The sequence below is a fragment of the Homo sapiens genome, chromosome 4 (assembly GCF_000001405.40).
Source record: "Homo sapiens chromosome 4, GRCh38.p14 Primary Assembly".
NCBI lineage: Eukaryota > Metazoa > Chordata > Mammalia > Primates > Hominidae > Homo > Homo sapiens.
The window spans coordinates 37,286,020-37,310,303 of NC_000004.12; the positions used below are offsets into that span (position 1 = coordinate 37,286,020).

The following is a 24,284-nucleotide window of genomic DNA, read 5'->3' on the forward strand; positions in this document are numbered from 1 at the left end:
TTAAACGTCTTGCCAATGCAGATCCAAGGAGAACAATTTTCTGTGTTTAGTTGACTGAACAAGTAGGATGTAACATCACAGAGTATCACTTAAAGAGGCATAATGTTTATTTTCAAATAGACTTTTATTGCTACCTTTAAAAATAACTTCTAATATGATTGGGTAAGTTAATCATTTTCGGTGTTTTAACTAGGATCAGCTTTAGAGACTCATCCTTACTTTCTTAGCACTTCTGTTAACAGTAACAGTAATGATGCTGAAATTCCCAAAATATCCTAGAGTTGAAATATCATCCAAATTACACTTGTGCTTATTGGGTCAAGTTTTCCTTAATGCTTGAGTTAGCTTGGAGTAATATATTAACTCTTTCTTGCCATGCATGCTACATTCCAGGGAACAGGACCCTTGGAACCCTGAATTGGAAAGTATCTTCACAAGATACTCACTTATATGTTAATCAAATGGAGGTCCAATTTGCATTTAAATATGCATGTGCAAAGATGATTGCATGGGGAAGAGAAAGCAAAAAGTTAAAAATCAGTGTTGGGGTCAGTAGAAAGAACACAAGCCCTGTAGTGTGTAGCCTGGATTAAGCCATGAACTGACCAGTAGCCAACTTGTGTGCACTTGAGCAAGTTACTTAGCAACTGTGAGTTTCCTCATGTGTAAAATAGAGATCATGATACCTTCTTCACAGGGCTTTCATGAGGTTTGGTGAACCAGTGTGTGGGAAGGTACCTGGAGCAGTTCCTAAGGAGGGTCTTAATAAATGTTGAATATGAATTTTTACTGCTTGTATTCTCACAAATCTTAACTTAGTTTAATCACATTGAAAAAAAAAATCATGGGGTGCGGGGCCAAGATGGTCGACTAGAAACAGTGGCAATCAGAGGTTCCCATCTAAAAGAACCATAACTAGCGTGTGAATCCTTCACCGGTCATCAGGGTATCCAGGTTCTCTCATCAGAACTGACGAGGTGACTGACGTGATCCATGGAGAGGAAGGAAGAGCAATGTGGTACTGTGGCCCACCTGAGAGCCGCATGGGGCAGGGGAGCCCCAACCCCCAGCCAAGGGAGGCACAGAGTGAGTATGCTACCCAGCCAGGGAAACTGTGCTTTTTCCATGGAACTGTGCAACACGGATCCGAAGATCCCACTCAAACCCATGCTACCGGGGCCTAGGGTCCCAACCCTGGAGCTGCTCAGATTCTCAACAGCCTCTCAGCTGGAATCTGCCTAAGCCTGCAGAGCTCCCAGGGAAAGGGGCAACCAGCACCACAGCTGTAGCTGCCTGCTGCCTTAGCCTTTTGAGCTTTTTGCGACGGGGGGCAGCAGCCAGCACTGGGACTCATAACTGCCTAACATACTAAGCAACCTGGGTTGGGGAAGGGTGGCATCCATCTCTATAGCTCCAGGCTGCACTTTTACCCTGCTGGAGCCAGGGAGACTGGATGGCTTGGTCCCCAAGAAGTGTTCCCCACAGCCCAACACAGCTGTGGCATACGGTGGCCAGAGCACCTCTTCAGACCTGACCCTGACACATCCTTCCACACTGGGTAGGGCTTCCCTGCAAGAACTCCAACAACTCTAGCCAGAGACTCAGGGACAGAAACCAAATCTCCCTGGGCATGAGCCCCTAGGGGGAGGGGTGGCCGCAGTCTTTGCAGTCAAGCAGAGTTAGCCTTTCCTCCTGATGGTTCTGAGGAATCTGGGCAGCCCAGACAAGTGGATTTCCCCCTAGTGAAGCACACCCCTTCCACCAAAGGACAGTGAAAGTGCTTCATTAATGGGTCCTGTTCCCAAAGGAATATAAGTCATTCTATGAAGATACATGCACACATATGTTTATTGCAGCACTGTTTACAATAGCAAAGTCATGGAACCAACCCAAATGCCCATCAATGATAGACTGGATAAAGAAAATGCGGTACATATAGACCATGGAATATTACACAGCCATACAAAGGAATGAGATCATGTCCTTTTCAGGGACATGGATGAAGCTGGAAACCATCATCCTCAGCAAACTAGCACAGGAACAGAAAATGAAACACCACATGTTCTCACTCGTAAGTGAGAGTTGAACATTGAGAACACATGGACACAGGGAGGGAAACAACACACACCAGGGCCTCTTAGGGGTTGAAGGGAGGGAACTTAGAGGATGGGTCAATAGGTGCAGCAAACCACCATGGCACACATATACCTATGTAACAACCCTCCACGTTTTGCACGTGTATCTCAGAACTTAAAAGTAAAACTTAAAATCAGTACAAAGAAGATAGAGTATTTTCTAGTGCGAAATATTTTATGTGGATCCTTTATGTCAACAAAGATAAAGCCAAGGCAAGGAAAATTAATTTCACACTTTAGCCTTCTGCAAATGCCTCTTGTTCCAGGATTACTTTAGCCAGTATCACTTAACCCCAAGGTGAAAATGAATACAGCAAGAGGGAGAAACAGTTGTTAAATTTATTACAACAGCCAAGCTGTCAAATTGAACATGTTATTCATAGTGCTTCTAATTGTCAACCTAATTTATGTATTAATATCTCAGGACAGCATGTGCAGAAATTTAATCAGCAAACTATTGTTTCCATGGAAGTCTAGTGGTTACATTCTGGGAGAGAATTCAGGCTTCAGAATCTCTTCTGCCTCCTCTGTCAGGGTCCATATGCACAGTGGCAGAGTTTGTAGAAAAGTAGAAATTGTTGTTGTGAATTACCCATTTGCATATATTAAACAATGGTAAACAATAGATCTGAGTTTGGGGGTAGTTCATTGTTTTTTGGTTTTTGTTTTTTTAAAACCAGATCAACTGAACCCAAATCCTTTTAGGAACATAATGGAATGGACATGATTATACTGGATGAATCGGTTATTATTTAAATAAAACTGAGCTCTAGGGAAACAACAGTTATAAATTGCCTATAACTGACTATAAAATATACTAGTAATTGACTTTTAAAATATTTTTAATATTTACATTTAAATATTTTATTTACATTTCAAATATTATGTTTATATTAACTGCACATATGGTTTACATCTAGTGTTTTAGTTTTGTCTCAGTTTCTCTTTAATCCCTGAGATTGTCAGTGACTTCTCATAATGAATCTCCTAACCTCTAATTCAAGCTAGTGCCTAAATAGTGTTGGATTTTTTAATAAATACCACCAACATGGTTGTAGTATTCAAATTTTACTACCCCAAATGATAATCTAGTTTGGGATGATATAAATTGGAAATTTTCATATAATTTCTGACTTTTCATAGCTGAAGCACTCCCTTGGGACAAGTCAGTACTTAGCTTTTGGATACTAATGTGCCCACAACCACATGAGGCCAACCAACCATTTTTTGGCAACATTTTATGATAAAAACTTTCAAAATTACAGGAAAGTTGAAAGAATTGTACAGTAAACACTTATATACTTACCCCCAAGATTCTACAATTAACATTTTACATATTGCCATATCATGTGTTTATCTCTACATTCATATTTTATTTTTATTATATGTATTTCACAGTAAATGGCAATTATCAGTGTATTCTGCTCTTAACACTTTAGCATGCATATCATTAAATACACTTCAATATTTGTTTACGGTTCTCTTCATTTGTCTTTTGAGGTAAAATTTACACAGTGAAATGTACAAATCCTAAGTGTACTATGAGATGATTTTTGTCAGATGCCTATGTCAATATAACCCAAACCTTTAGCTAAATATGGAACATTTTTCTCATCCCCCAAATTTCCTTCATATCCCCTCCTAGTGAGTCCCACTCCTCACCCCTAGAGGCAACTACTCTTATGATTTTCTTCCAACAGATTAGTTTCAGGCAACCAGTTATCAGCAAAGGCTTTTTTTTTCCGGAGTTGTTGGTTAGATTTGACTGTATGCCTAGGTACCCTGCTGGAAGGTCGAATGAACAATCTATTTTTCATTTTCACATCCGTCTAACTTTCTGAGGCTATTTCGCTTCTCTTCTGGTGGCTTATTTGCCCTTTTGCCTAACAATCCAGCCATCTTCTAAGCCCTTTCTCATAGTTGAAAGTAAGCAAAAGGGAAAGGAGGGCCTCAAGGGTCTTTGCACAGCACTGTCCTTAAGAAATTAGATGTGCACACCATTTCAGAGATAAATTTAGCCAACATCTATTAAAGGGCTTACTCTGTACCAGGCTCTAGGATAAACATAGACAATACCAAGATAGATAAAACATGCAGAAGCACCAGTAAGGGAGACTGACACATAAACCAATAACTATTAACCATTAATTATATTTTAAAAAATGTATTGGGCCACTACTATGTAGATAGCCCTGTGCCAGGCAGTGGGGATATGGCCCTGAACAAGATAGACATGGTTCCTGCCCTCAAGAGCTTCAGTGTAGAGGTGAGGGCAATCCTTACTGATTGTAAGTGTGACGATATCACAGAAGTGCAGAGTGTTATGGGAGTGTATTTGAGCAGATATAACTTAGTCCTTCTGGGAAGTTATAGGCAGTCAGGAAAGGCTTCCAAGAGAAACTGCCTTTAAGCAAATTATAAAGGACAAGTAGGAGCACGCATTGGTTAAAGGCACATACAGTAGTTAGACCACAGATGTGTGGAAACCACCTAAGAAGAAAGATGGCATGTTGGAAAAATGGAAATGGAACGTAGATAACAAAGAGGGATGCAGTAAAAGGTGAAGTCTGCAGAAAGGAATGGGCTCAGTCAGATAGGTTCCTATGACATTTCTCATGAGAGGCTAAGGGCATTTGACAGGGTGAGCCATCATCATTTTTGCTCTTCACTCCGCAGATGAATTACTGACTTTTTAAATTAGTTTCTGAGTTTGACTGGAAGTTGGCTGTACAGTTGTTTCAGCAAGAAGCAGTTCTGAGAGGTGTAGAGTTAAGGAGTCCTAGAATTAAGGAATGATATGACAAGGTTTTGGTTTAATGGGACTTCTTAAAGTTTGCAGCTCTGTGTAGTCTTAAACCCCTGAGAGCAAACCTAAAAGGAATCATGGGAATCCTTTGACCAAAGGTCTGAAGTCAACCTTTTCCTTCAGAAGTCTAAAATCAGCCCGGGACATTCAGTGATAACCACACTCACTAACAGGTCATCTCTGAGTAGTTAGATCAACAGTTTAAAAATAAATGTAGCCAACTTCTTACCTTTGTACCTCTTTGATTTTCTTGCGTTATTTAATAGTTTGTAATAAAACGACTAAGTAGCCATAACAAAAATAATAGCCTAATCTAAGGATTGCTGTGGGACTTAACCTTTTTGTTCATCCGAGATAAGATTAAATAGGGAAAAAAATCTACGGTGATTCAGCTGCTGCATTGAATTGCATGCTATTGCTGATATAATCTCCATTACCTTTTTGTAAATTTAATTTTAATTACATCAGTCTAGTAGGTTCCATACAGATATTTACTTTTAGTATAATGGATTTTTAAGGGAAAATATTCCATGAAAGCATTGAGTATTGAATATTTTATTTGAAAGCAAATGCTAAAAGTATTTTTATAACATTCAATATTGATACTTTGGGAAAGAGTAAAGTGAAAATATATTTTAATGGATTAAAAGGAAACCTTCGTAGCCTTTACTGTCAGTAGTATTTAGAAGTTCACACTGATAATAATATTAATATATTATTTATAAATGCATTAGAGAGGATAGTGTTACTAAAATTTTTGTTTTGCTATATCTGTGTAAAACTGTATCAGTGTTTTTCATATGAGAGATAACTCACCTTTTCAATAAGACCAGTTATATACATCCACAAATATATGATAATCAAAATATTTAAACTTACCCCAAAACATTAAAATTAAGGCACCATGCATTATATACCCTTGGTATGGGCCATGCCTTAAACTCTTCTCTGCAATTTGTCATTTTTTTGAACATATAAGAAATATTGTCTGAATGTAAGCTGACTCAGATATGGAAGCTCCTGAAGTGAAGATCACTTTGAGAGGGTTAATTATCTGAACAGGGCCACACATCATTAAGTTTTTTTAGAAAGTTAATAAAACTGACTTAATGATCCTCACATATTTTCAAGGGCCTTGCCTCAGTACATTTCTCCCCTTGGCCCCACTTGTGAGGTGCATTCCCTTAGGCGATCCGTTGTCAGGGCAAATTCCTAGGCGCTCCAAAGATCCATGCAGGAAACTGGGACCAATGAGTTTGCTATGATCTGAATGCAACCTCCCAAAATTTATATGTTGAAAATGTGATAGTATTAAGAAGTGAGGCCTTGAGGGGATGATTAAGTCATGAGAACAGAGGCTTCATGAATGGGATTAGTGACCTTATGAAAAAAGGTTGAAGGGACTGCTCTAGCCCCTTGGGCCCCTTCATGTGAGGACGCAGCAGGAGGCACCATCTATGAAGCGGAGAGTGACCTCATCAGATACCAAATCTTCAGTGCCTTGATCTTGGACTTCCCCGTTTCCAGAACTGTGAGAAATAAGTTTCTATTACTTATAAATATCCCCACCATAAGATATTGTGTTATAGCGGCCTGAATGGGCTAAGAACTTTACCCAGCTCACCTCCTGCCCCAGGATCCCATTCAAACAGGTATCAAGATATTGTGGAATCCTGACATATGTGGAGATCAAAATTGCATTCTCTAAAGCATTGGTCCCCACTGGTTTCATGGACAACAACTTTTCCATGGATCAGGGAGTGGCAGGGGGTTGGATTTGGGATGGAACTGTTCCACCTCAGATCATCAGGCATTAGGTTCTCTTAAAGAGTGTGCATCCCGGATCCCGCACACGCCCAGTTCACCATAGGGTTCGCACTTCTTTGAGAATCTAATGCCACCACTGATTTGACAGGAGGTAGAGCTCAGGCTGTAATGCCTGCTTGCCCACCGCTCACCTCCTGCTGTGCAGCCTGGTTCCTAACAGGCCACGGACCAGTACCAGTTCGTGACCTGGGGGTTGGGGGCCTCTGCTCTAAAATGTCTATACCTATTAAACTGATTAAATCTATTTTCTGAAAATGTCATCCACTGGACAATGTCCAGTCAATTGTAAACGGGCTGGTACTGGGACTAATGTTACCACTTTCTTTTTCAACAAAATGTTTTATTTAAATAAGCCAATATTTGTTGTTTTTTCACCCTTAATTTCCACATGGAATCAATTAGTCAAAATCAATCTCAACCTCTTCAACTTTCTCTTTCTCCATTAAAAAAGACTTAACTTTTAGCATCACGTGCTCTCCTGATTTATAGGTATTTGTGTCATTGTCTATTTGCCAGTTAGATGTTAACCTGCCTAGCTGCAGGGGTGGGCAGATTACTCATATCCTCCATATCTCCTAGGACAGTACTTTGTACATGGCAAGTTGCAAACATATTTGCTAGTAATTTAATTCATTAGTGGTATAAAGCAAATCAAAACCATGCTTGTTTCCAAAAGCAGTTATTATGGAAATTATTTTATACCTATTTTGTGTCTTCACAATCCATTGATAAATATCAACTATAACATATTAATGTTTGCCACTTTGATATTTTATATGTTGCCAAAATAGTTTAATTAACTTTTTCCCTAGCCACATACAGTATATTAATTTTCCCTTAAAATTGGTTCGTACATTTTGGTTTTTATGAAACCAGATGGTGGATGGCATTTGTATTTAGAGGATTGTGTTGACAGTATAATGAAAGGAAGTTATACGAAGAAGGAATATATGTGTTTACTAATGACGTTAAGGATTTAAAGTGTTTTCTTAATAATGTGGAGTATGCCTTCAGCTATTGTTATTCCTACCAGCTATTGCAAGCTATGTAGTACTGGGTAGTACTTAACAAATGTTAAGCCCAGGGCACACTGCATTTAAAAAAAAAAAAAAAAGATTTGGACTTTAAAATTCAGAGGAGACCTATCACTGAACATTCTTCTCTATTCTAAACTAGTAAAAAGCATAATTAAAGCGTTATAGGTAAGGCTCACTATAGGCTATAGTAAGAAGACAGACAAGAGGTGTTCCACAAATCACAGGAAGTCCCCACCCCCCTACTCCTTTCTGGAAAGGAAGACTTTCTTTGTTGTCAGATGAGGGAATATAATGGGAGGGAACCACAGAGTTGATGCAATAAGACAAATGTGAGAGCTTCCAATCTTGTTGTAACAGCCTCTAATGTTCCCAGGCCTTCCCTACACCATTGAAACAGTACGTACACATCGTTTGAGAATTAGGGTTACTGTCTGGACATTTTTATCTTTAATGTGCCACTAATTGGCAGTTGACTGTAGGTTATTTCAGAGAAATCCTTAATACCAAAGGCCACAAGTTAGTGTGGAATTCTCAGGAATGTCTGCTTTTATATGCCCCACACCCTCAAGCCCCACCCATGTTCTCATTTCCCGCCCCTGTAGGACTACATGCTGACTTGCCAGAGGCCATAGGAGCAGCTAAGAAGGATACATTGCAGACCCCAAATGTCCATCTCACCTCCTGCTTATTAATAAGATAGCAGCAGCAAACTAAGGGAAAAGGTGGAAAACATTGACAAAGAAGATGTAGCTTCCGCCTTCTCTATGTTGTAGATATTCCAGTGAAATGGACTATGGTTTTGTCTGTAACAAAAATTTTTTGGAAAACAAAAAACCTTAATTCGATAGATTTGACTATTTTTAAGGATAAGGTCAGACTTGCTTCATGATTGATGAAATACACAGAAATCATTTATTAAGACATCAAAGAGTAAGCAAAAATTAGTCATAGAATATTAGAGTTTAAACCAAATGTATCTGAGACGAATCTCAATCAATTAGGAGTTTATTTTGCCAAAATAAAGATCACATCTGAAAGAAACACAGAACCACAGAAACAGTTTGTGGTCTGCACCCTTCTCCAAAGATGACTTCGATGTTTGAGGGCTTCAATATTTAAAGTGGAATAGTGGGCTAGAGGGAAAGGAGGGAGGGTATGGTCACATTACTGAATCCACATGTTACAGGAGAAAAGGAGCAGGCAGGGGAATCGTCGATTATGTATTCATCTGGTGCTGAGCATAAAATAAGGTGAACACAGAACAGCTACTTGTGGAGATAATTGACCTTTTCTCTATAGCTCTCTGCTTAAGAGGAAAAGGTAAGGCAGCTTCTTGCATGACTCAGCTTTCAGCTTAGTTTTTTTTTTGTCAGAGTGTGTTGGTGTCCCAAGTTTTTATTTTTATTTTTTCACAAGAATCAGAAAAGTTTTTGAAGATTATCCAATCAAAGTATTCCTTAGATGTTTCAATATCAGTAAATGATCGTGTACTTTGTGTTTGAACACCTCCAATAGTTGTGAATCTATCTCTTTAAAGGAGCTCATTCTGTGTGGAAATATCTTACAGAGTTAACTTTTCTTCATTTGTAGTTGAAATCATCTCATTGACACCTATCTCATGCTGCGCCTTAGCTCAGCGTGTGTGTATCTTAATAATCTTTGCCAAAATCAAAGCAAGTTTCACTCTGGCCCATTCTTGATTCATTAGCCTTGATTCTGTCTGTCTTCCCTATAAGTATTTAATCATCATTTGTCTTATAGGTTAGGCACAAAATCTGGCTATTCCTTTGTCCTTGTGGAATCATCTATCTACTAGGTTACCAGTGATTCCCATAACTTCGTCTCCTACCCTGACTTGGCCTTCATCAATTCCTGGGTTTCCAAATGTGTCTAAGGCATTTCTGTGACAAGCTTCCCAACCTATAATATCTTAAATAGCATTTTCCCTTTCAGGACAAGTCCCTTATCCAATGACTGTAATTCATTACTGTACCACCATTTTTCTAGTCTTCACGCTGAAAGTATATTTCCTTAATGTTTTATTTGGATGTACAGTCAATCCCCATTATTCACAGATTCAACATTTGTACGTTTGTCCACTTACTAAAATTTATTTGTAGCCAAAATCAATACTCATGGTGCCTTCAGGGTTGTTCACAGACATGCACTGAGCAATGTAAAATTTGAGTCCCCTGACATGCACACATTCCCAACTGAGTGGAACAAGGCAATGCTCTGCTTCTTGTTTCAGCTCTCATACCACAAACAGGTGCCCTTTCCTAAGTCTATTTCATGCCACATTGTTCTTCCTTTTCTGTTTTTTAAAATAGATTTCACCATTTCACGTGGCCCCCAAGCTTAGTGCTGAAGTGCTAGTGTTCCTAAGGCTGTGGGGTGCCTTCGGGAGAAAATACACGTGCTAGATAAGCTGCATTCAGGCATGAGTTATAGTGCCGTTGGCCAATGTTAATGAATCAACAATATGTATTAAATAAGGTGCCTTTAAACAGAAACACACATAAACAAGGTTATGTTATTGATTGCTCGATACAAATATTGTGATCATGTACATTGATGGCAGCACAGTTCACAATTGTGAAGATGTGGAACCAATCCAAGTGCCCATCAGCTGATGAGTGGATAAAGAAAACGTGGCATATATACACCACGGAATACCACTCAGCCATAGAAAATAACGAAATAATGTCTTTTGCAGCAACTTGGATGGAGCTGGAGGCCAGTATTCTAAGTGAAGTAACACAGGAGTAGAAACCCAAAGATCGTATGTTCCCACTTATAGGTGGGAACTAAGCTATGAGTACATAGACATACAGAGTGATATAATAGACCTTACAGACTCAGGAGCCAGAGTGGATGGGGACCTAGGGATAAAAAAGCCTACCTATTAGGTACAATGTATACTACTTGGGTGACTCATGCACCAAAAGTCTCAGAATTCATCAATATATAATTCACCCATGTAACAAAAAACCACTTGTACCCTAAAAGCTATTAAAATAAAAAATTAACAAAGAAAATGTGATCAAAGGCTCACAGGAACCTAGCCCTGTATTTCTCCCAGGAGTGATGGTTCAGTATTCACAATCCAGTGTTCACAGCAACTTCATAGAACTTAAGTTCTGCAAATAATGAAAATCAACTATAATTTGGGATTCACAGAAAAGTTTCCAGAACAGTAAAAAGAATTCCTGTACACTCTTAACCCAGGTTCCCATTTTACCACATTTGCTTTATCCCCCACTCCTCTGTGTGTGTGTATATCACACACAGTATCTATGAATACAGTTGTCCCTCTGTATCCATGGGGGATTGATTCCAGGATCCCTCACAGACACCAAAATTTGCACATGCTCAAGTCCCCCTTATATGAGATGGCATAATATTTGAATATAACCTACACATCTTCTTCCATATAATTTAAATCATCTCTAGGTTTCTTATACTACCTAATACAATGTAAATGCTGTGTAAATAGTTATACTGTATTATTTGTATTATTTTTATTGTATTTTTTCCCAAATATTTTCTATCTGTGATTGGTTGAATCTGTAAATAAGGAACCTGCCGATATGGAAGACTGACTATATGTAATTCTAACATATCTTCATATCCTTTGCAGCTAAATGCTTCAATGTATATTTTCTAAAAATAAGTATATGTTCTTACATAAGTAAAATACAAATATCAAAATCAGGAAGTGAACAGGAATTCAGTATTACCATCTATACATTTATTAGGAACTACCAGTTGTCCCAATAATACTGGATCATGTATTGCATTCAGCTGTCATGTTCCTCTAGCCATTGTAAATTTAATACAGTTCCTCAGTCTGTCTTTTTCTTTCTTGACATTGATGTTTTTAAGGACTATACATCAGTTATTTTGTAGAATGTCTTCAGTGTGCTTTGATGTTTGTTTATGATTAGATTTAGATTATGCTGTTTTTGGCAGGAACATTACAAGAGTGGTGCTGTGTTCTGAGTACATCATATCAGGAGGAACATGAAGTTGGTTTGTTCCATTTCTAGTAATGCTAACTGAACACTTAGCTGAGAGGGTTTTTTCCAAGATTCTCTACCACAAAATCATTGATGTTCCAGCTAGAGACCCCCAGGAACACCCCTAGGTTGAACAAAGATGTTTCTTGGCCACTGCAACACGCCACAGGGAACTGGTGGGCGTCTCAGTAAGAGATGCTCAGAAAGGAGGTACTTATTGTTGGGTTTAGACTTATGTGTGATTATTTGGGGGAAGTTTCAAGGAAGTGTGGTTTCATTCCAGATTGGGCGCTATCAGAAAACAGGGACAATTTCATGATTGGTTATATTAATAATTTTTATCTAAGAGGGTCAGAGGAATGGAGCAAAGCTGAGCCCATATCTGATAAGGCAGCAGCAATCACTCGTGCCATGAGAGGGCACATGCTTGATCCTTGTTTGTGATTTGGGCAGTATTCTAAGTCTTTGCCATGTCTGTTTGATTATGGAGTGGCCTTGCTTATATTTGATTTCATCAGTATCACAAAATGACTTTGTCTAATATTTGTTCTGGTATACAATTATTTATATTCAGCTAAACACGATCACCTAGGTGCGAGAGCCAGGCCAGCTTCCATTTGATAGCAGTCAGAGACTTCTTTTTGCTTATTAATTGCTAATTTTTCCTTTGTAATTAATGTAGGCATCTCTACTGAAGTTGGTAGATAGGTAGGTAGATGGGTAGGGTAGAGAGGTGAGTGGATGGGCAGATGGATAGGAGAAAAGAGAGCTCTTCATTATTTGCTAAGTGATAGATGTAAAAGAAACTATGGAAACAGAAAATCATTATTTGACAACCATAATAATTTATTCAGACAAGGATCATCAATGAAAGTTCGAGGAGCAACAGCCTATATAGCCTTAAACTATTTCCTCACAAAATACCTATTAGTTGCAAGGGAAACAGCTATTTTATAAATTAGAAAATGTTAATCACCCCGTTATGATGATGATGAGAGTGGTAGTACAGCCAAGCTTTACTGGAAAGTTATGGGTGAAGTACTTTATATTAATTTAATCTAGGTGATATAGATTGTATGGACATTGTCTGAGGTTTATAATGGCTTGTGAACTAGTCATAGGGCATACACTTTGTATTTAACCAAGACAATCTTCAGACTCAATTCCTATTACCAGCCATCTTACAGAGTCTCTTTCCTGTGTATCTAATTTATCACTCAATTTCTCTTCAAATCTCTCATTTGCATTCCTCCTTTTCCTACTGCAGTAAAGTTCTCCTCACCTCATATATGGATTACTGCAGCTAGTTCAAAGCAATCCCCCTATTCCAGTTTCTTCTTTTTCAAATCTGTAATACAAAACATTTCCCTCTGTGCCTTTCTGTAAGATCCCTTGTAGCATGGCATCACCCTGCCCCACCTCGGCAAATTCAGACTTCTCATTTTCAAGACCATCAGTAATTTGATCCCTTTACTTTTCTCTTTTCCAAGGAAGTTTCGCTCACTGTCCCCAACCCCCTTCTGTAATAAACTCCATGTCTTTTTCTGCATTGAGAAAGCTCTTCTGCTGTACTCTATATCTGAATTCTACTCATTTTCAAGTAATAACTTCCCTAAAATCTTCCCCAATTTGGATCTCAAAATCAGTCTTGTATCTAGAATGTACTCCATCCTGTCTAATATTGAATAATTTTCTGTTTTCTACAGGTATCTCAGTTTTGACCCTGTCGAAAATGCAAGTTCCTTTGCAATGGGGACCCAGCAATCTTTCCTTTGATTCTTTAACACCTAGCAGAGTGTTGGGTGCAGGGTGGAGCCTCTGTAAGTGAAGGACTTGCTGATTGGTGAATTACTCTAATGTGGGCAGGTGAACCAGGTACAAGTAATCCCCTCTCAATGAAAGGACAGCTGCATTTTGGACACTTGATGAAAGATGTTTTTCTTGTAAACTGAAATGTATGATGAATTGCTTTTGTTCTGTATGTTCTTCTGTATATATGCTTTCTTTTCCATTTGATTATGAGAAACAATTGCTGTTAAACCCCCAAATTTTCAGCACACAGAGAAACCTCAAAAGACTTGTGAAACTGATAGCCTAATTATAATTTAACCCCCATACACTATACTGTAACAAACTGTGCTACTTCCTCAAATACATCGTGTCCTTTTCAAGCCTTCCCGCTTTGTTCATGCTGCTATGTCTTCTAGAAGATATCTCCTCCTTCATACCTGGGAAAGTTTTATTTATATGTCAAGTTCCAGCTTAATTGTAGTCTTCTCTGAGAAACTCTTCCTGATCATCGGACAAAACTAATTGTTCCTCTCTCTGTGCTTCAGTAGCACTTTGCTTATACTCTGTTTCAGACCTTGCTATGCATTATTGGAAATAGTGCCATCTTGCCCGATTATATCATGAGACTGAGGGCAGGACTGTGCCTTGTGTCACTTTTGTTTTGGAAGCAACGCTGTAGCAATCAATAAATTTTAACGTGGCAAGCCCTTGTTAAGAACTGTGTAAGTGAACTCATGCTAGTGGAGTGTAAAGTTCCAATTATATATTATTCGAATTAGTAGATCTGAAAGGCCTCATATAGATCATACGGGGTTTTCTTTAAATAGACTTTAACATGAAAAAGAATTACAGATGAATTATGCTACTTTGAAGGGGCTTTTTTCTTCCCAAAATTAAAAAAGAAGCTGAAAACTCTGAAGTCACCAATTTTGCAGTAACTTTATTTACTTATATATTATTTTGTACAAAATATGACCTATTTCAGAAAGAGAAACATCTTGTTTTGTCATAATAAAGCACAAAAAGTATATAAGTTTCTTCAATAGCATGCATGGTTGTAACATTAATATCTAGTTGAATGACTACCCTAGAAATTTTAATAAGTACACCCAACAAAGAATAAAAATACTCAAAATATTATTTTCTGAAAAACATAAGGAATTTAGGAGGTTTTAATTCTCATCACTCCTGATTTACATGCTTAATTTAGAATTTTACTTCTGTCCTTTTTAACTCCACAAATTAGACATATTATTTAAGACATAAATTATTATTTTATGCAGCTAATACTTAGGCTTAGCTATGTATTTACCAGTTTGTTTGCACACTACCAGTTTTTGCATTTCACACATTGCATTTGAGATAATTTTTCTTCTACCTTCTAAAGGAAGAGTGCAGTAAACTCACTTTTTGTTTTTCTAAAAATGTCCTCTTTTGACCTTTTTTTGACACATAATTTTGTTGGTTATTCCAGACAGCGGATTTTTCTCTCAGCATTATGAAGATAATCTATAGTCTTTCTGGCTTCTAATGCTGTTGCAAAGTCAGCTGAAAATATAATTGTCATGTTGTAGGTAATCTGTATTTTTTCTCTGGCTGTTTCTAAGATCTGTTGTTTTTAGTATTCTTCATTTTCACTATGAAATGGAATTTCAGTATTTATATGGAGTGCTTTATATTCATTGTGCCTGGAATTTGTTGACTTCCCTGAATCTGAAGACTGGAATCTTTCAACAAATCTGGGAAATATTTAGCCATCATTTCTTCAAATACTGCCTCTACTTTATCTCTTTTGTCCATTTTTTTTCTGGAATTCAAAAGATGTATATTAGATTGTCTCCATATATTATGCCTATCTCATATACTCATATTTTTCATTTCTTTCTCTTGGTGTGATGAATTCTGTATAATTTATTCAAATCTGTCTTGCTCTTTACCCTTTTTTTCAGTGATTTAAGCATTCCATTCAATTTTAATTTTAATGTTTTTTTATTTCTAGAGGTTTTATTAATTTCTTTTTCAAATCTGCGTTATTGGCTTTTGTGGTTTCTTATTTGTATTCTTTTATTCAATGCTTACTTTTATTCCTTTAAACAGATTAAGTACTTATTTTATATTTAAGATAATTTTGTATTTCAGATAATTTTGTATGTGATTCAGCTGGTTCTTTTGTTTGAGCTGGATCTCACATATGTTGTCTTGATTTTTATGTGTGTGCGTATAGTTTAAGAACTTTGTTTGCTGGAATAGATCAAGGCATTGTTAGAAAGTACATTGTTAGAAAGTGTAATGACTGAATCAAGGTAATTAGCATATCCCAATACAATTCTTTGTTTTGGGAAATCCTCTCCTAACTTGCTTGAAAATACACAATAAATTATTGTTAACTATAGTCTCCCTAAAGTACTATAAAACGCTAGAAATTATCCTATCTAGCTGTAATTCCGTGTTTGTTAACCAGCCTCTCTTTATTCCCTTACCATCCACTCTTCCCAGAATCTAGTATCCACAATTCTACTCTCTATTTTTATGAGCTCAACTTTTGTAGCTCCCACATGTGAGTGTGAACATGCATTCTTTATCCTTCTGTGCCTGACCTATCTCACCTATTATAATGTCCTCCAGGCTCACTCATGTTGCCACGAATGACAGAATTTTATTCATTTTGATGGCCAAATAGTATTCTATTGAGTATATTTACCATAATTTCTTTATCCATTAATCTGTTGATGGACTCTTGAGTTGATTCCTTATCTTGAGTATTGTGAATAATGTTTCAGTGAACATGGAAGTGCAGATACCTCTCTGATATTCTGATTTCCTTTTCTTTGGATAAATCCCAGTAGTGGGATTGCTGGATTATATGTTAGTTCTATTTTCAGTTTTTTTGAGAAACCTCCACACCGTTTTCCATAATGATTACACTAATTTACATTCCATAAACAATGTACAAGAGTTCTTTTTCTCTGCATTCTCACCAGCATTTTTTTTATTTTTTGTATTTTTTGATAATAGCCATTTTAACTGGGGTGAGATAAATGTCTCACTGTGGTTTTGATTTGTATTTCCCTGATGATTAGTGATGTTAAACATCTTTTATATACCTGTTGACCATTTATATATCTTCTTTTGAGAAATGTCTATTCAGCTCATTTGCCCACTGTTTAATTGGATTATTTGTTGTTTTGGCTGTTGAGTTCCTTGTGTATTCTAAATATTAATCTCTTGTTGGATGAATAGTTTACAAACATTTTCACTGATTCTTCAGGTAGTCTCTTTACTCTGTTGATTTATTCTTGTGCTGTGAAGACACTTTATAGTTTGATATTAATCCATTTGTCATTTTTGCTTTGTTACCTGGGCTTTAGAAGTCATATCCACAAAGTCTTTGCTTAGATCAGTGTCCTTAAGTATTTCCCTTTTGTTTTCTTCTAGTAGTTTTATAGTTTCAGGTCTTACATTTTAATCTATCTTGAGTTGATTTTTGTATATAGTGAGAGATGTGGGTGTAATGTTTGGTCTTCTGCATATGGACATCCATTTTTCCCAATACCATTTATTTGAAGGAGGCTGTTCTTTCCCCATTGTATGTTCTGTTCACCTTTGTTGAGAAACAGTTGTCTGTAAATACATGGATTTATTTCTGGGAGCTGAAATTCTGTTACATCGGTGTATCTCTCTGTTTTTATACCAGTATCATGCTGTTTCGGTTACGACAGCTTCGTGGTATATAATTTGAATTCAGGTAGTGTGATGCGTCCAGCTTTCCTCTTTTTGTTCAGGGTTGCTTTGGCTATTTGAGATTTTTGTTACGGTTCCATATAAATTTTAGGGTTATTTCTTTTATTTCTGTGAAGAATGTCATTGATATTTTGATAGAGATTACATTGAATCTGTAGATTAGGTAGTATAGTAATTTTGACAGTCTTCCAATTCAAAAACGTGATTTTTTTTCATTTTTGTATGTCCTCTTCAATTTCTTTCATCATTGTTTTCTAGTTTTCATTGTAGAGATCTTGCACATTTTTGGTTAAATTCCTAGGTGTTCTATTATTTTTTGTTACAATTACAAATGCGATTGATTTCTTTTTCAGCTAGTTCGTTTTGGTGTATAGAAACACTACTGATTTTTATATGTTGATTTTGTATCCTACAATGTTACCAAATTGGTTTATCAATTTTAAGAGTTATTTAATAGAGTTTTTTGTCTTTTAGTTTTTCTATATATAAGACTATGTTATCTGCAAACAGGGACAGTTTCATTTCTTACTTTCCAATGTGCATGCCTTTTATTTTTTATCTTGTCTAATGCCTCTGACTAGGACTTTTAGTTCTGTGCTGAATAAGAGTTCTGAAAGTAGGCATCTGTATTAGTCTGTTCTTGCATTGCTGTAAAGAACTACCTGAGACTGGGTAATTTATAAAGGAAAAAGTTTTAAGTGGTTCACAGTTCTGTAGGCTGTACAGGAGGCATGGCTTGGAGGACTCAGAAAACTTACAGTCATGGTGGAAGGCAAAGGGAAAGCAGGCACTTCATACATGGCTGGAAAAGGAAGAAGAGAGAGAGAAGTGCTACACACTTTCAAACAACCAAATCTCATGAGAACAGCAAGGGGGAAGTTTGCCCCCATTATTCAATCACCTTCCACAAGGCCCCTCCTCCAATACTAGCAATTACAATTTGATATGAGATTTGGGTGGAGACACAGAGCCAAACCATATTATTCTACCCCGGTCCTTCCCAAATCTCATGTCCTTCTCACATTGCAAAATACAATCATACTTTCTCAGCAGTCCCCCAAGTCTTTATTCATTTCAGCATTAATTCAAATGTCTGAGTACAAACTCTGAGACAAGGCAAGTCTCTTCCACCTATAAGCCTGTAAAATAAAAAACAAGTTAGTCACTTCTGGGATACAGTGGGGGTACAGGCATTGGGTAAATGCTCCCATTCCAAAAGGGAGAAATTGGCCAAAACAAAGCGGCTACAGGCCTCATGCAAGTCTGAAACCCAGCAGGGCAGTCATTAAATCTTAAAGCCCCAAAATAATCTTTGACCCCAGGCCACACCGATGCAAGGGGTGGACTCCCAAGGCCTTGGGCAGTTGCACCGCTGTGGCTCTGCATGGCTGCTCTCAAGGGCTACTGTTGAGTGTCTGTGGCATTTCCAGGTGCCCAGTATAAGCTGTTGGTGGGTCTACAATTCTGGGGGCTGGAGGATGGTGGCTCTCTTCTCACAGCTCCACTAGGCAGTGCCCCGGCACGGACAGTGTGCGGGGGCTTCAATACCACACTTCCCTTCCTCACTGCCCTAGTAGAGGTTCTCCATGAGGGCCCCACTCCTGCAGCAAACTTCTTCCTGGACATCCAGGCATTTCCATACATCCTCTGAAATCTAGGTGGAGGTTCTCAAACCCCAGTTCTTGACTTCTGGGCACTCGCAGGCTCAACGCTACGTGGAAGTTGCCAATGCTTGGGGTTTGCACCCTGTGAAGCCACGGCCTGAGCTCTATGTTGGCCCCTTTCAGCCATGGCTGCAGTGGTTGGGACACATGGCGCCAAGTACCTAAGCTGCACACAGCACAGGGAACCTGTTTCAGGCCACGAAACTATTTTTCCCTTCTAGGTCTCCAGGCCTGTGATGGGAAGGGTTGCTGCCAAGGTCCCTGAAATTCCCTGGAGGCATTTTTGCCATTGTCTTGCTATTAACATTCAGCTCCTTTTTACTTATGCAGATTTCTGCAGCCTTGAATTCCTCTCCAGAAAATAGGTCTTTCTTTTCTACTACATGGTCGGGCTGCAAATTTTCCAAACTTTTATTCTCTGTTTCCCTTTTAAATATAACTTCCAGTTTCAGAAAATCTCTTCGTTGAAGTACGTTCTTTCTGTACCTAATTTATTGAGAGTTTTATCATAAAAGATGTTGAATTTTAGCAAATGTTTCTTTGGCCTGTGGTTTTAGTCTTTCATCTGTTGATGTAATGTATCACATTTATTGATATGCATGTGTTGAAACATCCTTGCATCCTTGGGATAAATCCTAGTTGACTGTGGTATAGAATCTTTTTGATGTGCTGTTTGATTTCGTTTGCTAGTATTTTGTTGGGGATTTTGCATCTGTGTTCATCAGGGTTATTGGTCTGTAGTTTTCTTTTTTGGCTGTCTTTGTGCTGTTTTGATATCAGAGTAATGCTACTCTTATAGAATTAATAGAATAATTAATTAATAGAATTAATGTGGAGGAATTTTTTTCTCTTCAGTTTTTTGGAAAAGTTTGAGAAGAATTGTTGTTAGTCCTTTAAAGGTTCAGTAGAATTCATCAGTGAAGCCATTTGGTTCCAGGATTTTCTTTGTTGAGAGACTTCTTATTCCTGATTCAACCTCATCATTTGTTAGTCAGTTCAGGTTTTCTGTTTATTTTTGGTTCAGTTTTGGTAAATTATATGTGTCTGGAAATTTATTCATTTTTTGTAGATTTTCCATTTTGTTTGTGTAGCATTATGCATAATAGTCTGTAAAGATCCTTTTTGTGTCTGTGGTATCAGTTGTAATGGTTCCTTTTTTGTTTCTGATTTTGAGTCTTCTCTTTTTATTCTTAGTACAGCTAATGGTTTCTCAGTATCGTTTATCTTTTCCAAAAACCAACTTTTTCTTTCACTGATCTTTAGTACTTTAAGTCTTTGTTTCATTTAGTTCTGATCTTTATTATTTCCTTTATTCTAATGTGGGGTTTTGTTTTTTCTTGCTTTTCTGATAGCTTGAGGCACAACATGAGGTTGTTTATTTGAAATATTTCTACTTTTTTGATGTAGGCATTTATTGCTATGAACTTCACTTAATACTGCCTTTGTCTATCCCATAGGTTAGGATATTTTTCATTTGTTTGAAGAAACTTTCTTATTTTTTTCCTAATTTCTTCCTTTACCCATTCAGGAGCATGTTGTTTAATTTCCATGTATTTGTACAATTTCCAGTTTCTCTTGTTGTTGATTTCTAGTTATATATTGTTGTAGTATGAAAAGATACTTGATATGATTTTAGTTTTTTAAAATTTGTTAAGACTTGTTTTGCAGCCTACCATGTGATCTATCCTAAAGAATGTTCTGGGCCGGGTGTGGTGGCTGATGCCTGTAATCCCAGCACATTTGGAGGCCAAAGCAGGCGGATCACACGGTCAGGAGAGTGAGACCATCCTAGCTCACATGGGGAAACCCTGTCTCTACTAAAAAAATACAAAAAATTAGCCAGGCGTGGTGGCACACGCCTGTATTCACAGCTACTCGGAAGGCTGAGGCAGGAGAATCACTTGAACCCGGGAGGTGGAGGTTGTAGTGAGCCGAGATTGCGCCACTGCACTCCAGCCTAGGCGACAGAGCGAGACTCCATCAAAAAAAAAAAAAAAAAGAATGTTCTATGTACTGATGAGAGGAATATGTATTCTGTAGCTTTAGGATGAAATGTTCTGTAAATGTCTGTTAGGTCCATTTGGTCTAGGGTATAGTTTAACTCCAATGTTGGCTGCAGTTTGGTAATTTTCTGTAGTGATAAAGTTTAATTATTTCTTTTTTATTTATGTATCTGCTCTACCAGTGTGTTTTATTCTCTCACATGTTTTTATGATGGTAGTTATCATTCTTTTGCTTCCAGATACAGGACTCTCATGTATTTCTTGTCGTGTAGGTCTAGTGGTAAATTCCCACAGTTTTGCTTGTCTGGGAGAGACATTGTTTCTCCTTGATTTCTGAAGGATAAGTTTGTTGGGTAATGTATCTTGGCTGCCAGGGTTTTTTTTCTTTCAGCACTTTAAATATATCATCCCATTCTCTCCATGCCTGTAAGGTTTTTGCTGAGAAATATGCTATTAGTCTGAAGGGGATTTCATTATATGTGACTTGATGCTTTTCTCTTGCGGTTTTTACAATTCTCATTTTCTCTTTGACTTTTGACTATAATGTTTCTCAGAGAGAATCTTTGAGGTTGAATCTATTTGGGGACTTTTTAGTTTCCTGTATCTGAATATCCATATTTCTTCCCAAAACTTGGAAGTTTTTAGCAATTACTTTATTAAATGGGTTTTCTATTCTTTTTCCCATCTCTTCCTCTTCTGGAAATTCCATAATACAAATATTTGTTTACTTAATTATATCCTGTAAGTCTCGTAGGCTTTCTTTATTCATTTTCTTTTTGTCTGACTGGATTTTGTCAAAAGACCTGTCTTCAAGTTCAGAAATTTTTTCTTCTTATGATCTAGTCTATTGTTGAAGCTCTTGATTTTTTAAAAAAATGGATTCATTGATTTTTTTAGTTTCCAATTTGGTCCTTTTTTGTGATATCTATGTATTAAATTTCTCATTCAGATTATGAATTGTTTTTCTGATTTTGATGAATCATCTGTCTGTATTCTCTTATATCTTTCTGAGTTCCCTAAGGTCATTATTTTAAATTCCTTTAAAAGTATTGCATCAATTTCCTTTGCCTTGGGATGTATTACTAATAAATTATTTGGATCCTTTTGAGGTGTTAATTTTCCTTGCTTTTTCATGTTTTTTACATCCCTATGTTAATATCTGCACATCTGGTAGAACAGTCACGTCTTCTAATTTTATGGCATAGCTTTCATGGGGAAAGACTTTTTCTGGCAGATGTGTTAATTGAATAGAGTGCTTTGACTTTGGTTCTGGGTGGGCACAGTAGTGTAGTGTCCATGTGTTTCTTCAGCTGTAATCAGTGTCAGTGGTACCTATGAGTGCTTTAGTAGCCTAGATTGTGAGTGTTTGTGGAGGCAGCTTTGCTGAGAGGCCTGGAGCTACCAGAGAGCCTGGTTTGGGAGCACTTGGAGGGGTATGCTGGTCAGGGCGGCAGTCATTAGTGGCAGCAGCCATTAGTGGCAGGAGCAGACCCCAGGTAAACCAGACCTTGGGTCCCTGGGGAGCATGCACAGGCACATAGCTCTATTTCCCAGCTGGAGAGTGTGGTTGCTGGCAGTGGCAGTCCCTGGGCAGCAGGGTAGTTCTTAGGCCCCTTGGGAGGGGACATGCAGTGGTTTCACTACTAGATTGGTAGGTCACCAGTGGCAGCAATTCTCAGGTGAGCCAGTCCTCAGGCCCCTGGTTGAGGGTACAGGCACTCAGTAGCCTTGACACTGGAGTAGGCAAAGTCAAAGGCAATGGAAGGCCCCAGCAAGCTGGTACTCAGGCTTCTAAGGGGAATGCAAGCACACTGTGGCTTCCCCACTAGACAGGTAGTTTCACTGATGGTATGGGCCCTAAATGTGCCAGTCCTTAGGCCCCTGATGGGGGCACATGGCAGCTCCACTTCTGTAGTGGGAAGGGCCATCAGTGGCAGCAGACATCAGATAAGACAGTCCTCAGGCCCTCAGATGGGGGATTGCATGAGAGAGCACAGGAGCTCTGCTGCTGAAGCGGGCAGAGTTGTCAGCATTGGCAGGCCCTTGGTGGGCCAGTCCTGGGCCCCCATCCTGGGGTAGCCAGTCCTTGAGTTCCTGATGGAGAAGGCCCTGCAGGCAATGCAGCAGCTCCACCACTACAGGAGTCAGCGTTGCCAGTGACACTGGCAGCAGGCCCCAGGCAGGCCAGTCCTAGGGCCTTTGGGGAGTGCACACGAGCATGTGGCAGTTCTGCTGGTCATTAGGCCGTCAGCTCTCAAATTCTGGGGAGCACATGCTTTGGCTCCCTCTGTCTTGAAGATGGCCTCCCTGATATACTAGATCACCTGTTCCCTTGGGTACAGGCCACTGCATTGCCTCAGGTGCTGAGTTCACAGCTACACCACGGGGTCCAACTGGAATCACAGCCCTGTAGCCTTCTGGATTGGATAATGATAAGGGCTCAGAAATGCAGAGAAGCAGGCCCTTTGGGGCTCCTGGACAGGGTACATTTTAGCAGTGGCTCTGTTCTCAAAATGGCACCATAATGCAGTAGTCTGGGTTCCAGAGAATGGCTGGGGGGAGGTGGGAACTCAGCATGAGTTCCCTCCCTACACTAGTCTCAAAGCCTGTGAATACTGTAGGGCTCCCTTGCAGCTAGAATTGCAGGTGTCTGTGGTGGGAATGTGGACTGCTAGGGATCTCCTGCCTTTTCTCACAGTGCAGAGTGCCTCTTGGCTTTGAGTCAATCCCAGGGCTCTTCCTTCTCTATGCTACCTTCCCAAGTTCCAATGCCTCAGGGATGCCTCTGTCACATATTCTCCCATGTATTCTGTTGTTCTCCCTAGGCATGCAATTCACCATGTAGTTATCTGCTTATCACTTTAGCCTTTTTGTGTGAAGGAAGCAGGCTCTTCTACTCAGCTATCTTGATAACATCTTTCAAGTTTTCTAGCTGGTGAAGATTTATTTCTAGTTCACTGCCACACTGAAGATACACCTCTTTGGAGTGATGACCTTTTGCATGTTTTTCCTGTTAGAAAAAAAATCCCATACCATTGTCACATTGAGTAGGGCCCTATACTTTGTCTCCAATCTACCATGTACCCACAAATGACAAAATGATACTTAAAAGTCACCAAGATTTAATAGAATATAATCTAAAGCTGTCCTCAGATCTCTTATTTTCCAAGATTTCTGCTTTCACTGTGCCTTTGGCCTGTCTGTGTGTTATTTAGTTTTATTCTAGCTATGCAACACATTTAAAAAGATAGATTTTTAAAT

General features: G+C 38.5%; 1 protein-coding gene across 1 annotated transcript in view, besides 2 other annotated features; it reads left to right on the forward strand.

Annotated features, from left to right (window-relative positions):
• The window catches only part of NWD2 (NACHT and WD repeat domain containing 2), a 204,721-nt gene that overhangs the window by 41,277 nt on the left and 139,160 nt on the right, over window positions 1-24,284 (forward strand). The window lies entirely within an intron of this gene.
• Window positions 13,571-13,740: an enhancer, noted in NCBI's record as "experimental_78969 CRE fragment used in MPRA reporter constructs". NCBI's record gives its function as "activates a minimal promoter by MPRAs in K562 erythroleukemia cells, with activity observed for both the introgressed and non-introgressed 4:37301297 or rs12650229 variant alleles {active_cell/tissue: K562}" and the evidence as "EXISTENCE:reporter gene assay evidence [ECO:0000049][PMID:34662402]".
• Window position 13,656: a transcriptional cis regulatory region, noted in NCBI's record as "Neanderthal adaptively introgressed variant 4:37301297 (GRCh37/hg19 assembly coordinates) or rs12650229 in the experimental_78969 CRE". NCBI's record gives its function as "modulates activity of the experimental_78969 enhancer by MPRAs in K562 erythroleukemia cells {active_cell/tissue: K562}" and the evidence as "EXISTENCE:reporter gene assay evidence [ECO:0000049][PMID:34662402]".